This window comes from Homo sapiens, chromosome 1 (genome assembly GCF_000001405.40).
Source record: "Homo sapiens chromosome 1, GRCh38.p14 Primary Assembly".
Lineage (NCBI taxonomy): Eukaryota > Metazoa > Chordata > Mammalia > Primates > Hominidae > Homo > Homo sapiens.
The window spans coordinates 182636351-182651531 of record NC_000001.11 but is presented as its reverse complement, the minus strand read 5'-3'; the positions used below and the strand labels follow the sequence as shown (position 1 = coordinate 182651531).

The 15181-nt window shown below is 47.0% G+C and overlaps 1 protein-coding gene across 9 annotated transcripts in view, besides 2 other annotated features; it reads left to right on the top strand.

Moving 5' to 3' along the window:
• RGS8 (regulator of G protein signaling 8) overlaps nt 1-9714 on the top strand; it is a 110559-nt gene extending 100845 nt beyond the window's left edge. For all 9 annotated transcript variants that reach the window (XM_011510089.4, NM_001387847.1, NM_033345.4 and 6 more), the window contains 2 exons: nt 3229-3395; nt 4615-9714. In XM_011510089.4, the coding sequence (XP_011508391.1) occupies nt 3229-3395; nt 4615-4797 (350 nt within the window). In that variant the 3' untranslated portion in view covers nt 4798-9714. The remainder of the gene's footprint in view (nt 1-3228; nt 3396-4614) is intronic.
• Nucleotides 6847-8046: an enhancer, noted in NCBI's record as "MED14-independent group 3 enhancer chr1:182612621-182613820 (GRCh37/hg19 assembly coordinates)". NCBI's record gives its function as "activates an origin of replication core promoter dependent on BRD2, BRD4, P300/CBP and CDK7 cofactors, and independent of MED14, by STARR-seq in HCT116 cells {active_cell/tissue: HCT116}" and the evidence as "EXISTENCE:reporter gene assay evidence [ECO:0000049][PMID:35650434]".
• Nucleotides 7536-7815: an enhancer, noted in NCBI's record as "active region_2206". NCBI's record gives its function as "activates an Ori minimal core promoter by ATAC-STARR-seq in GM12878 lymphoblastoid cells {active_cell/tissue: GM12878}" and the evidence as "EXISTENCE:reporter gene assay evidence [ECO:0000049][PMID:35858748]".
• Nucleotides 9715-15181: the final 5467 nt, after the last annotated feature.

The window sequence follows — 15181 nt, the reverse complement described above, 5'->3', positions numbered from 1 at the left end:
GTGGAAACAGTACTTCAAATTTTGCATTTGGATCTTTTCCCAGGCTAGCAATATGTGATGTGATACTCTCTTGCAATGCTGGGCCAAATAATCTAACACAATGTCTGTTTTATAATAAAGTGCTGAATAGCTCATGTAATTTACTAAATACTGTACCAAAAGTGTTCTGAGCACATTTAGGGTAGGCTCGGCTGAGCTGTGATGTTCAGTAGGTTAGGTTTATTAAGTGCATTTTTGACTCTTGGTATTTTCAATCTATGATGGGTTTTTCAGGACATACCTCCATCATAAGTTCAGAAGCATCTGTACTTTGTTACATTAGTAGTTGTTTTAAAAGACATGGCTGAATTGAACGAATGATTCTCAGTCCATCTCTGCCTAAACATTGCCGTGTCATTGTTTCATTTTGATTTTCAGTTTATCTCGGGTTTCTATTCCCTTCCTCCAGAGTTTTGAATCCAATGTAGGAATGGGAGCAGGAGGTGCCCTGAGCAGACCTCTCATTTGAGTCTAAATTACGTTACTCTCATCTTCTTTTTTGATACAGGAAAATTTTATTTTCCACCTGCCTGACAGGAAGTAACCTTACATTATATTCTACTTTCTCTATGCTTTGTGGTTTAGAGTTAAGGTAATCATGTGTCCTGGGTTTTGCCTGTGGTGGTCATGGTTTATAATTATTGTCTGCATGTAATTAACAGTAATGCAGCCTTCACTCTCAACATGACCTGACTTGGATAAGTCTCAACCTCTAGGGTTCAGGTGATCCTCCCACCTCAACTTCCCGAATCGCTGGACACATGCCACCACAGCTGGCTAATTTTTGTATTTTTTGTAGAGATAGGGTTTTGCCATGTTGCCCAGGCTGGTCTCGAACTCCTGGGCTCAAGCAGTCTGTTCACCTCAGCCTCCCAAATGTTGAGACTACAGGTATGAACAACTGCACCCGGCCATTCCTACTTTTTAAAATGACTTTAAGCTCAGGCTTCCAAACTTAAATCTCCTTGTGACTTCAAGCTTAGTGTTGGGAGTCACCCGGAAACCTTTCTCTTAAGTTCCTGGCTCTTGCAAGTAAAGATGTGGCTTTTTTGATACTGTTCTAGTATAGACATTAAAATATGTATTTTGAAAGACAAAGATATACAATGACTTTTTTATTCAGAGAAATGAAAACATTTCAAGAAAGTAAAAGTAAGCATTGAATATATCAACAGCATGGCACCAGCAATCCATCAAATGACCCTGGCCAGTGCACGGTCCTGGTGGATAGTGGTGGACGTCAGATGCCCAGGTCATCCTGTCACCTAGAATTAAGAGTTGTTGGCCGGGCGTGGTGGCTCACGCCTGTAATCCCAGCACTTTGGGAGGCCGAGGCGGGTGGATCACAAGGTCAAGAGATCAAGACCATCCTGGCCAACATGGTGAAACCCTGTCTCTATTAAAAGTACAAAAATTAGCGAGGCGTAGTGGCGCACGCCTGTAATCCCAGCTATTTGGGAGGCTGAGGCAGGAGAATTGCTTGAACCCGGGAGGCACAGGTTGCAGTGAGTCGGAACTGTGCCACTGCACTCCAGCGTGGCGACAGAGCAAGACTCCATGCCCCCCACCCAAAAAAAAAAAAAAAAAGAGTTGTTAACATTTTGTTCTTCTGGGGGATTTTAGAAAAGAAATAAAAGATTATTGCCGGGGTCTTTTATAACCAGTAGAACACTTCTTTATTCTAGGTTGTATGTGCCCTTCCCCTGAGGACAGTTTATAGAAAACTATAGCTGTTATTTGATTAAAGGGAGTGTGTTGAGGTTGAAATAACTAATAAAAAATATTTTTAAATAAAAACATTAACTGGATGCATAAGCTATCAATAAATGTGATTTCCCTTTCTAACTTGACATGGTAACCCTGCTCATCTTGTGTTGGTTGGAAGCACTGCTTGACAATATGTATGACATTGATTAATAAAAATGAAAAGCCATATTAATTTGTTAAATCACTTGGCAGAAAAATTATGATCAATCTTAATTAAAACATAATTTGATAGGCAATATCTTTTAAAATAAAGGACACATGGAATAAAAGGTCAAAATACAGCACCTCAAAGGTTTTTTTTAAAAGAGGCTTGCAACCCCGTCCAGGTAACAGAATGAAACTGCCGACTGCATTTCAGTGGGTAGTTTACTTTCAGATTTTTTTTGGTAGTAGCAAAGGATGAGACATTCACACTTCCCTCTAGTTCATCTTGTAACAAGTTGTGTGTTTCCTCAGGGTGGTTGACTTGGATTAGGTTAGAGAACAAATAATTTGACCAAATTATTAAATAGCAACATAGCTCACCAGTAGACCCAGGGGATAGAGACACCTGTGCCCCAAATATATTACTACAACTTCCTAAATGTGGCTTCGTAATATTACTATGACTCTATTTTTTTTTTATGAGACGTATTTTTGGTCTTGTCGCCCAGGCTGGAGTGTAGTGGCGTGATCTCGGCTCACTGCAACCTCTGACCCCCAGGTTCAAGCAATTCTCCCACCTCAGCTTCCCAAGTAGCTGGAATTACAAGCATGCACCACCACACCCAGCTAATTCTTTGTATTTAGTAGAGATGACGTTTTGCCATGTTGGCCAGGCTGGTCTCGAACTCCTGACCTCAGATGATCCACCTGCCTCTGCCTCCCAAAGTGCTGGGATTACAGGCATGAGACACTGCGTCCAGCCCTATGACTCTTGAATATGAAGCATGGCTTGCCTCTGAGGACACTTTTGTGTCTAAGAGAATGGGGTCTTTTTTTTTCTTTTTTTGAGACGGAGTCTCGCTCTGTCGCCCAGATTGGAGTGCAATGGCATGATCTCAGCTCACTGCAACCTCTGCCTCCCGGGTTCAAGCGATTCTCCTGCCTCCCTGCCAAGTAGCTGGGATTATAGACATGTGCCACCATGCCCAGCTAATTTTTTTTGTATTTTTAGTAGAGATGGGATTTTACAATTTTGGCCAGGCTGGTCTCGAACTCATGACCTCAGGTGATCCACCCACCTCGGCCTCCCAAAGTGCTGAGATTACAGGCGTGAGCCACTGCACCCAGATGAGAATGGGGTCTTCAAGAGGGTGTGGAGGAGCAGTGAGCTTGGACAATTAGGGGCACCCTCACACTATTACTTCCTTTCTTTCTTCTACAGTTCTTAAACTTAAGCTGCTTCCTATCTCTCTTCTTTTCTTCCTCCCACATCCGCAGATGGGGTGGCTGCATTCCGTGCCTTCTTGAAGACGGAGTTCAGTGAGGAGAACCTGGAATTCTGGTTGGCCTGTGAGGAGTTCAAGAAGACCAGGTCAACTGCAAAACTGGTCTCTAAGGCCCATAGGATCTTTGAGGAGTTTGTGGATGTGCAGGCTCCACGGGAGGTGTGTTGGCAGCGGCGACCATCCTGTCTATCCATGGCTCCTAGCTTGCATTTCTCTCCTCAGAGAGGATCTGAGCCAGGCTTGATGAGGACTTTCTTATACTAAACTGAGCCTCATCACTCTGGTGGCCCTTGATGAAAAAAGGATCATTTTTAAGAAACTGAAACCCAGGGTTTCCATCAAAGGAGCTCCATTAGGAGTGTTTTAGTTATCTGTCAGTTAAACATGTGCTAGCAGGAACTGTGTTGCTACAGAGATTTTGCAAGAATAAGTGCTACCGAGTCTATGTTCATTTTCCTGATGGAAAGCAGCATAGCTTAATGAAATGTGGATCTGCTTTGAAATCTTGTTTCAATTTTAGCTCCACCACTTACTAGCTATGAGATCTTGGTCAAGTTACTAAACCTCTCTGGGTCTCAATTTCCCCAATGTAAAAGCGTACCTACTTTTCAGAACATGAGAGATAAAGCACCTGTTCAGTATTTGCCACTGCTCATTAATGAGTAATTACAATTATTTACATTATTTAATTATACTTATTTGTAATAATAGGATGAATTTCTATTATACTGCTGTTGTGAGTTATAATACAGAATTTCACTTGGGAGGGGAGGGTTTAAATGAAGAAAAATGTTTGCTACAAGTTTAAGTGCATTGCATTTTTAGATTCCTTCAATTATGCTTTGACTTGGGATGCGAGAAGTCTTTACCAGTTGGCTAGGATGCTACAGGCCCTTTATAATGCTGTTTGGAACACAGATGTGCATTCTAACCAGGGCCTCCCTCCACAGGGCATTTGTTTCCTTAGTAGACAAGAAAGGAGAGGACAGAAAGCTTACTTCAGGGGACTTGCGTTAGCAACTGGCTTGGATCTATCCCTTTGCCTGCCATGGTGAAGGTCCCTGGATTAGGGATTCAAGTAATTTGGGATTTTGCCTTGGCTCTGTTACTAACTTTCCATACTACTTTAAACAAGCTTTTTAGTCTCTTCTTTCCAGTATTGTTGTCTATAAATTGGGACTGAGAATATCTGGTCTTCAGACCCCACAGGATTCTTGCTGTGATCAAAAGGGATGACCTCCATGGAAGCAATTTGAAAAGCAGAAATCACCTTAAATATGTAGATGCTGTCATTCATAATTATTGCATAGTTAGGGCCAGCTGCCAGAAACCTTGGCCCTTGAGGGCCTGTGACCTTGCTCTCTGTTTGTATCTCTAGGTAAACATTGACTTCCAGACCCGAGAAGCCACGAGGAAGAACCTGCAGGAGCCATCCCTGACTTGCTTTGACCAAGCCCAAGGAAAAGTACACAGCCTCATGGAGAAAGACTCTTACCCCAGGTTCCTGAGGTCCAAAATGTACTTAGATCTGCTGTCCCAAAGCCAGAGGAGGCTCAGTTAGACCTCAGAAGGGAACTCCTGGAAATCACCGGCTTTCCCCTCCACTTGCTGCCAAGATCATATTCTAATGTGAAATGTCATAGGTGTTCAAAAGCGGTGGCATTGGGGGTGGGAGGCTGGGGGTGAGGAGGGAATGAAGGGCCATTCCAAAGTATGACCCAGCTGCCGGAGCTTGGACTCTATTCCATTTACCCATGTTTGTGTTTTGGTTAGTGGTAGCGCCTTGCCGCTGTCACCCTTTTCTGGGTCAGCAACTTGCCCTTCATATAATGCCTTGGGTCACCTCTGCTGAGAGGGCAGATTTGCTGTGCTAGGCTAATCTGTAAATAATGCAAATGCAATTCCCACCACCTCCACACCCTCCTCGGTTAGGATTCCTGACTCTCCACTTGTTGTAAATCCCTGGGAGGAATAGCTGAAAGACTTGGGCTCAACTCTGTGATTTGTAGTGGCCAGCTCTGCTCACTGGGATCTCACAGCTTAGGAGAGAGGTTTCTGTGGAATTCCAGGTTTCTAGTTCTGTCATTGACAGGTGACCTCTCAGAGAAGGAGTGAAATCCATGGAGTTGTTTGTTTCTTCCATTTCCATTGGACCAGTGTGAAAAACTGTGATTACTTCCCATCTTGGCCTAGGAAATTCACAAGACTACCCTAACCTTACATTTCCAGAAAGAGTCTTGGGTGATGTTCTTCATGACTTCTGAAGTGGAACTGCCATTAAGAAAGATACAGCTTGCAAATCTTCCTCAATTCTACGAAGAACTTTTCCAGAAGTCAAGAGACGAGGGCAAGTAGCACCAGTAGACTTCTATTCAAAGGGGTACCATGTAACCTGTCTGTTGCTCAGTGTCTTCTCTGCCCTCACCTCTCTGCAGCATCATACATCACTGATGTCTTAGGATGACAGCTTGGCAAAGGGAGGTGAATTCCTATAGCATGGAGTGCTCCCATGGTGCCTAATACTTTCCCTGTATCTCCACCTCCCCCCTTCCATGCCGGTCATGTAATTATGATGGGGGAGAATGGGAATTTAGGCTGAAACTCTTTCCAGCATACTTCCTGGGAAAATGCTTTCTTAGAAAGATCTCTCTCTTGGATACTATGAAGCACCTTCTTTCTTGATCTTTGACCTTTTGGAATTGAGCATGAAATAGGAGGTGTGGCTAAGAAGATCACTGTGAACATCTGGACGTGGACAACCTTCCTAAAATGCTTTCATGGTACCCTGCAGCTGCTCTTGGAAATGTGTCAGGCAATTCTTCCTTGGAGGATGAGTGAGCAGCCTGGAACCTACTCTAGCCACCCAGGAAAAAGCTGACTTTGGCACAAGACTAGTGCCCAGGAGATGAACCTTTAGCAGAGAGACCGGAAAGTGAAAGAGGGGCATGTAAGAGGCTGGTTTCCAGGTGGAGAGGATAACAGAGTGGAGTTACTATTGGAATAATTCACGACCAGTGGATTTGGATTCATTGCAGATCTACAAAACGTTCAGCTTGACTAAGTGGAACAGCACATGATTAGGCATAAGCTCTGGAGTGCAGATGATTGAGAACTGGGCTGAACCATTTTCCTTTTAAGGGGTGAGGGGCCTTTTAACGTTATGCTGGTGGCGTTCTAGTGCTTGTGTTCCTCTCCAGTAACTTTGAGAATCTCTTCCTTTTTTAGCTATAGCTAGACCAGGCCAAGAAAGCCCTTGAGTCCCACTAGTGCTAGGGCCACTGCACTGCTACAGCACATTGTTATCTGTGAGTGAGGGTGGGTGTGACTGTGTGAACCTCAAGGGGAGAGAAGAACACATGTCTCCTAGCCCTCACAGACACCGAAAAGACCTGTGGAATTTTGTGTTTGAGAACTCCAAAGCCTCAAATGGGTGTTCCTAGTTAGATCAGGTAGTATCCTCCCAACCGTGGTTAAAAAAACAAATCATTCTTTCTTAGATAAAGCTGCCAGAATTAATTTAATGATTAAATTCTCTAACAGGGTATTTTAAACATTGTTTACATATGAAATGTGCATCTGCTGCCAACTCTACTGTCGAATATGAGGTGCATATAAATTAGAACTGCACAGAGTTATAGAAATGTGAAACATTCTGAAAGGGGATTTTTCTCCACTTCCACTATTCCAAGGAGAAAAGCCTGAACAAGAGTGTCGTGCGATGGCCTCATAGAGAGGCCTAGAGTTCTTGCCAACTATTGAGGAAACGAAGGCTGCAGATGGTGGTGTCATGGCGCCCTGGTGACTTCCTCCCACAATGGGGAGGTGTGAAAGACCAAGCTTGGGGATCCTGAATTTTGCAGCTAAGCAAGGGTATGTGGGCATGTGTCCATGTGTAGAGGAACGTGATAGCTAAATTTATGGTACTCCTGTGGAGTGTCTCTGTGTGTTTGTGTGTGTGTGACAACTGTGAGCATTAGACTAGTACACGGCAGACATGATCTTCCCGTGGGGTGGAGCTTTCCTCATACCTTGTATGCCCTGCTTCCCACAAGAGGCACAGAGCTCTCCACTCTGATGCCTACTTTCAGGCACTCTGGTCGTGCCAACCCAGATTTTGGTCTGTGATGAAACAAAGAGAAATGTTTACAACATCTAGAGCAATATCCAAGCATACCTCATCCCTGAGCTTCCATGTTTCCCAGTCCTGCCCTCTCTCCCATTGCCTCTTCCGCAAGCCCATGTCCTTGGGTATCACTTCCATTTATTTCCTGTCTTCCTTGGCTCCTCAAGCCGAGCCTGTGCTGTGGACTTGCCTTCTGGACTTGAGGCTTGCTCAGTCCTGGGCCTATGCAGGCTCCAGGCAAGCCAGGGCAGGGCAAGTCCAGGCAAGTCTAGGCAGAGCTGTGACTTCTAGAATTGCTCTCCATCCCTGAGTGATCTTGCCCCACTGGAGGGCTAACTTGTTTGGGGGCTGGTGTGAGATTCGTCATTGCCCTTGGCAAACTAAATAGAATACTGTCAGTATCAACCATTCATGGCCTTGGGCACCTCTGGGGTGAGGAAGAATCCTCTGAGGCAGTCCTTCTCATTAAACTTGAGCATGCACAGGAATCACCTGGAAAGCCTGTGACACGTGCTAATTCCCAGGTGCACACCCAGAGATGCTGATCTGATAGACCTGAGATGGGGCCCAGAAATCCACATTTTTAATAAGTTCCTAGATGGCTAGTGGCCTGTGGACTTGGACTCTTAGACAGAGTCTCACGACCTTGGCTGCTCCTTAGAATCACCTAGGGAGTTTTTAAAACCCAGATGTCCAGGTCCCACCCCAGAACAGCCAAATCAGAAGCTTTTGTTAGAGACCCAGGCATCAGTCATTTTTAAAGCTCCACAGGTGATTCCAATGTGCAGCTGAACTTAGGAAGCATTGAGTCTAAGGAGTGAGGAGGAACACAGCGCGGGGGCGGGGGGGCTGGGGGAGGGGGGAGACACAGCTGTGTGGGCCAAGGGGGCTGGTGTATCTCCACATGCAAGCACGTAGATACCGAGGAACCTGGCCAGCCCTGCAGCCTGACTCGGGATGGCTGCCTCTATGCCCTCTGCGTCTGACTTTCTCCTTTGAGATAAAGGTGTTTTGGCCCAAGCTGAGTGCATTGCTGGGCAGCGGCCATGCCGAAGGTGGTAGCTGAAGGGACCCTTGATCGAAAGACGCTCTGCCATGCTTTCTGAGTCCTGTCTCCTCCAAGCTTGTCTCCTAGACTGTTTCCCCTGTCTGTTTTCCTGCGCCCTTGTGTTTGGCCATTTTTGCATTAGGCTGTGTCTCTGTACCCAAGGCCACGTGACAAGGTAGTTGGAACCCCCACTCAAGTGGTGAGTGAAGAGCGTCGTGGTAATAATAATAGTAGTAACACAACTTCCAAATTTCTCAGTGGAGAGTGTCACGTCCTGGGGGTATCAAGATCTGTGAGGCCTTTCCAAGCCCTCACCATTCCCTCTTTGGTCCCACGTTGGGTGGGCAGCTGGGAAGGTCCTAGTTGATTTTAATCTCCGGTGCTTTCCCCAGAACTGCTGCTCTGAATAAACCAAAGCTGTGAAAGAGTGTTCTGCGCAGGCTGCGGGCCCAGCCTCTGGGTGCAGGCCCTGGGCACTTGAGCTGAGCAGCTCAGCTGGCTCTGCTGTGAGGGAAAGCCGTGAACTTAACTGTGCTGAGAGCTGGGTGAGGGCAAAATGGGGAAGACTGAAGAAGAAGGAGCAGGTGGGAGAGACCAGCCGCTAACATGGTGTCTACTTCTCCGTGGATCAGAGAAGGGATGAGTAGCAAATGCAGAGGCAGGGTGGTCTCCCAGCAACAAGGATGTCCAGAGTTCTCCTGACCCTGTCTGCACCCACTTCCATGCAAGGCAGAGGCATCACAGTTTTCCATCCCAGGCCACCCTTCACTCTTCCAAGTGTCAGGCCTCTTTAAATCTGCATCCCTTTGGGTTAGAAGCAAGAGAGGTGGCAAAGTCTCCCTGGCACTGAGAGCCTGTCCCACCATGCCACTCGGCATGAGATGGTGGAGGAAGAAGCCAAGAGCAGGGATGCCTTCCTGTCCCCGTGGCCTCTCAGGACTCCACAAGATGCTGTGGACCAAGATGAGAGATTTCAGGATGGGGCCACTGGCCTTCCTAGGTTGGGCTCTGGGTCCTTTCAATAAACTGTTCCTTTCCTGATTCTTACTCCCTTCTGGTCCTTCCACTCCCTTCCCTCTGCCAGGTATGGAAAAGGTGGCTGGGCTCGGTGTGCGCTCCAACCCCGGTAGCATTAGCTGAGTCACGCGGCGAGCACACAACAGATTTGTAGCAGCTCATCTGCCATATAAACCGCTTGGCTGATGGAGTCCTCATTGAGTTTTTTCATTATCGTGTAAAGTGGAATCATGTCATTCACCTTTACTATAAACAAGGCTGTGAGAACATAATAAACAGAACCTGAACAAGCTGCTCTCTGCTCTCTGTCCACATTTCTGCCCAGCTGACTCTTTATGAAGAAACTGTCCACATCACACATGGACTCGCTGGAGGGAGGGCACGTGGGCCCACCTGGCAGTGGCTGGCACAGGGCTGGCCATCAGGAGAAGCAGGGGTGTGGGTGGAAATGGATTGGCCTGGCTTGGGGATGAGCGTGGGGTGGAGAGTGACTATGGGTTATGAAAGTGGCTTTGAAACTGTAAAGTGCTGGCCCAGTTTGAGGTAGTGTTTTTATTAGTACCACCTACTGCTTGAAAATGCAGAGAGAAAAAAAGGATGGGGATGGTTTTTGTATTTGTTCAGCTGGAGCAATCTGGAAATGCAGTGGGTTCATACTGCTTAGGGCTGTACCTCACTTTATACAATCAGTGTGTCCCCAAAAAGTGTGTATTAGTCATCAGATCTTTAAGTGCCTCTGGTGATCAGGTCCTGTGGAGGGGATGGAAGGAGAATAAGGCACTGTATCTGCTCACAAAAGCTCATTCTTAAAGTAGGGTGATAAGACAGAGATATGCAAAACCTTAACCATCCACATAATTGAAAATGCTCTGGAAAAGGTCTGTCTTTAAAGGAAAGCTGACATTTCTTCAAAGATGAATCCTTTGGGTTAAAAGAAAAGTCCTTTTGTAAAGCAAATGATCACCCTCAATTCCAATTTTGTAGACTGGGCAAGGAGTAGTGGCAGGTTGGGCTGCTGCAGACAGGGGTCCGCCACTTGGGAGGGGGTGTGGCTGGTTTCTGTCTTTCTGGCTTTGCTCTTCTACTCCTTCTACCCCTATTCCCACATGGGGCTCCTGACCCCTCCAGGAGAGAGTGGAAGGGGAAAGATGAGAGGTCAGGGATGAGGGGTGTGGGTGGGGGGTCAGGCCTGATGTAGATGCCATCTGAGATAGGCTGTGGGCTCTCCAGCCTTGGAGGACTCTGTGGAGGGGAAAGGGGAGTCCTTCCTGGTTCATTGGAGACCGTGTGTCTTGGGAATCTGCTCCCTGCAGTCTCCCAGTGAGGGTGAATGATTCACTCTGGCGGGTGGACTGGTCCTTCCTGACAGTGCCCCAGCTTCTCTCTGCTGCAGTCCGCTTGCCCACTTGGACAGGTCCTAGGTTGAACTCATGCTAGTCTTCTCTCCAGAGGCCCACAGTGGGCCCATTGGGACCATTTGGATCTTATTTTTCCCTAGAATTAGAAGAAAGCAGCTGCTCTTCTTGCTCTGTAGCCAGAGCCACCAGCCAGCCCGCTGCTAACATTTTTTATTTTCCAGGCTGGAATAGACACCCATCTCCTGGGTCCTCAAGCATCAGGGGGCACATGTCAGGCTCCAAGGACCCACAGAACCCACACTCCCTTGGAGTGAGGTGAGACGTAGGCACCCTGCCCGTCCTTCCAGGGGGCTGGGGCTCACAGCACACCAATAGTTCTCTCCAAAAACTTTCACAAGTTCTCTCCAGCCCCTGATCTTTTGCTGAGGGATGGATTCTCAGTGCCACTCACTTGTTCTCCACTCCCTCCCTGGAGTGTTGGCTTGGTCTGGAACCTGCTTTGGTATCTGAGATCACTCTCCTAGGCCTTGACAGAGGCTCTTACACGTGTAAGACACTTAGCACTAAGCCTGGCATCTCACTAACACGCAGCACATGTACAGAAACAAAAGCCAAGTCCCTTCTGGTCCTAGGATCTACAAACAAAGCCATGGAGAGAGAGAGAGACAGAAGAGATCACTGAGATAACTTCCTCTGGAGGATGTGCTTCTTAGTTGGGGCCTGTCTTAATCTGTTTGGACTGCTGTAACAAAGTGCCACAGACTGGTGGTTTATAAACAACAGATATTGTTCTTCACAGTTCTGGAGCCTGGAAGTCCAAGATCAGAGTGCCAGCACGGTCGGGCTCTGGGGAGGGCTCTCTTCCAGGTTGTGGACGGTCAACTTCTTGTTATATCCCCACATGGTGGAAGGAACGCTACCCAGCTCTCTGGTTTCTTATAAAAGTCACTAATCCCATTCACAAGGGCTCCACCCTCATGGCCTCATCACCTCCCACAGGCTCCACTTTTTAATACCATCCCATTGGGCTCATGGTTTCAGTATATAAGTGTTGGGGTCTGGGCACAAATATTCAGTCCATTTTAGAGTCTGTCCTGGTCCCCTATCCAGAAAGGGTAGTAAAGCTGGAGGGAAAGGGTGGGGACATGCTATGTGTGCTGCCTCCCATGTTCATGCCTCATTCCACAGCACAGAGGGACATCCCAGTCCACACCCTGGGTCACTGGCTGGATGCTCAGCCATGGAAACAGAAAAGCCACAAGCCTGAGAGCCTTTGACTAGGGTTACATGAGCACGCTGTTCCTGGTAGTTTGGGCTGTGATGCCAGATTAGGTTTCAATCTCAGCTTTAACTCTTACAAGTTGTGTGATCCTAGGGAATTTACTTCCCTGTGCCTCAGTTTTCCCATCTGTAAAACTAAAATAATAACAGAGTCAACTGCTTGGGGTCATTATGAACATTAAGCTAGGAAGAATGTGGCACCTAGTAGGCACACAGTATGTGCTAAGTGGCATCATTCTCTCATATTGGAATCACTAGGGAGTCAAGCCAGCACCTTATTCATAACTCACTTGCTTCTCAGATAAATGCAAAAGAAAAACACTCAAAGCAAATGATATTACAGAATCGACATCACATCCCTTCCCTACTAAACTCTAAAATCCCTGAAGGTAGAGAGAGATTGTAATTCCAGACCCAGACTCCCTGGGTCTCTTTTGTTTACTGCCCTAGTTCCTAAATATTTATTGGAAGAACATTACATCTACAAATGTTTTTTGAGCACCTCTTTCTTTTCTTTTCTTTTCTTTCTTTTTTTTTTTTTTTTTGAGATGGAGTCTTGCTCTGTCGCCCAGGCTGGAGTGCAGTGGCATGATCTCGGCTCACTGCAAGCTCCGCCTCCCAGGTTCACGCCATTCTCCTGCCTCAGCCTCCCAAGTAGCTGGGACTACAGGTGCCCGCCACCATGCCCGGCTATTTTTTGTATTTTTAGTAGAGACGGGGTTTCACCGTGTTAGCCAGGATGGTCTCGATCTCCTGACCTTGTGATCCACCTGCCTTAGCCTCCCGAAGAGCTGGGATTACAGGCATGAACCACCACGCCCGGCTGAGCACCTCTTATAGATTAGTCACTTGGGTAGATTGGGGGTGGAGGCAAGAAATCTAAAACCTGGACTCTCATAGAACTTACTTGATTCTTAGAAAGACTTAATGCTTTATAAGCCTTGGCACTTACCAAATGAGTGGTATAGAAAGTAAATGGCTGCATGATGAGAAGCTGCTATGCTAATAGGAAACACTTAGGGGCCAGGTACTTTACCAGCAATTTAGATGGTTCATCTAGTTGGGTCCCTGCAACAGTTTATTATTACTGTTATTATTATTTTAGAGATGGGTCTCATCTATCACCTAGGCTGGAGTACAGTGGTGCTATCATAGCTTGCTGCAGCCTCAAACTCCTGGACACAACAATCCTTCTACCTCTGCCTCCTAAGTAGCTGGGATTGCAGGTGTGCACCACTATACCCAGCTAATTTAAAAAATTGTTTTGTAGAGACAGTGTCTCACTATGTTGCCCAGGCTGGCCTTGAACTGGGCTCAAGCATTCCTTCCACCTCAGACCCCTGAGTAGCTGAAATTACAGGGATGAGCCACCAAGCCCAGCCCCTGCAACAATTATATGAGGCAACGTATGAGTTTGCTCGGGCTAAGAAAACAAAGTATCACACACAGAGTGGCTTAAACAAGAGTTTTATTGTCTCACAGTTCTGGAAGCTAGAAGTGCAAGATTAAGGCGCTGGCAGGGTTGGTTTCTTCTGAGGTCTCTCCTTTTGGCTTGCAGATGGCTGCCTTCTTGCTGTGTCCTCACAATCTTTCTTCTGTACTCTAACCCTTGGTGTCTCTTCCTCTTCTTATAAGAACACCAGTCATATTAAAGCCCCATCCTAATGGCCTCATTTAACTTAATCGCCTCGTACAAGCCCTATCCCCAGATACAGACATATTTTGAGGTACTAGGGTTAGGCTTCATCATAGGAATTTGGGGGACTCAGTTCAGCCCATCACAGATAAACACTATTATTAATCCCCATGTACAGGTGAGGAAACCGAAGCACAGAGAGGTACTTCAGTGATCTACCCAAGGCCGTACAGTGTGTACGTGGCAGAATTGGGATTTAAAGCCCTGGATTTAGAAATCCAGAGCTGGTGCTCTGAACCTCTACTGTGCTGTGGACTAGACGGAAATATGGGGAAGAGATGGGAGTGGGGCAGGTGCATAGGTGCCGGGGGGCAAGGAAATGGGGGTGGCAGGGTGTTGTCAGGGGTGCTGGAGCTAAATCGCTCATAGGATGTCATGGATGAGTCCACACCAATGCTGGTCTGCTACAGATGAAGGTAGGAGGAGAAATGGGAGGGTCAGTTCTCTCTGTCTTTTGCTCGCTCAGAAATCTGAGCTCCTGGAGAAGCTGGAGGCCTGGTGGGAAATGGTGGCTAAAAGACATGCTGCAAAGCCCGCTGGAAATTGGACTAGCCAATTATCCGCCCAAGCTGTTCGTTTCCAGGCAGCGGGTACAGGCGCAGCCATGCGAGTTTGTCCCACATCCTCGGAGCATGTCATCCTTCCTGGGGAGGCGGAGTCCTGGTCTTGCCCACAACTCCGAAGACAAGTGTTGCTCCATCCCCTGAATCTGCCGAAAGGAGAACACACCAGTGGGGCGCAGGCTGCAGGCATGCCCTTCTCAAGGAGAGAGAAGTAGCCCCCATCTCCTCTCACACTAATACCAGCTCACAGGCACCATGAGTGGCAGGGGGCTCTCCCCAGAGCCATGTGATGAGGGAATAGAGGTGAGATTTGGATGCAGACAGGCCTGAGTTCAAATCCTGATGCTGTTGCTTACTCAGTGTGTGTGAGATGCCGGGGATGGTACTTGGCCACTCACAGCCTCAGTTTTCTTACTAGAAAAAGGGGGATTACAAAACCCACATTTCCAGGCAGGTTGCTGCAAGGATGAGAGATGATGTGCAAAGCATCTGGAGCAGGACCTGGTATTGAGTAGGTGCTCAAAAATTAGAAGCTGTGAGTATTGGAGATATCCTGGCTTATAGACATCTCAGCACTAGGTCTCTAAATCTTTATTTTATTTATTTATTTTTTTATGAGATAGAGTCTCACTCTGTCGCCAGGCTGGAGTGCAGTAGCACGATCTCGGCTCACTGCAACCTCTGCCTCCCAGGTTGAAGCAATTCTCCTGCCTCTGCCCCCTTGAGTAGCTGGGACTACAGGAGCGCACCACCACACCCAGCTGATTTTTGTATTTTTAGTAGAGACAGGGTTTCACCATTTTGGCCAGGATTGTCTCAATCTCTTGACCTCATGATCCGCCTGCCTCTGCCTCCCAAA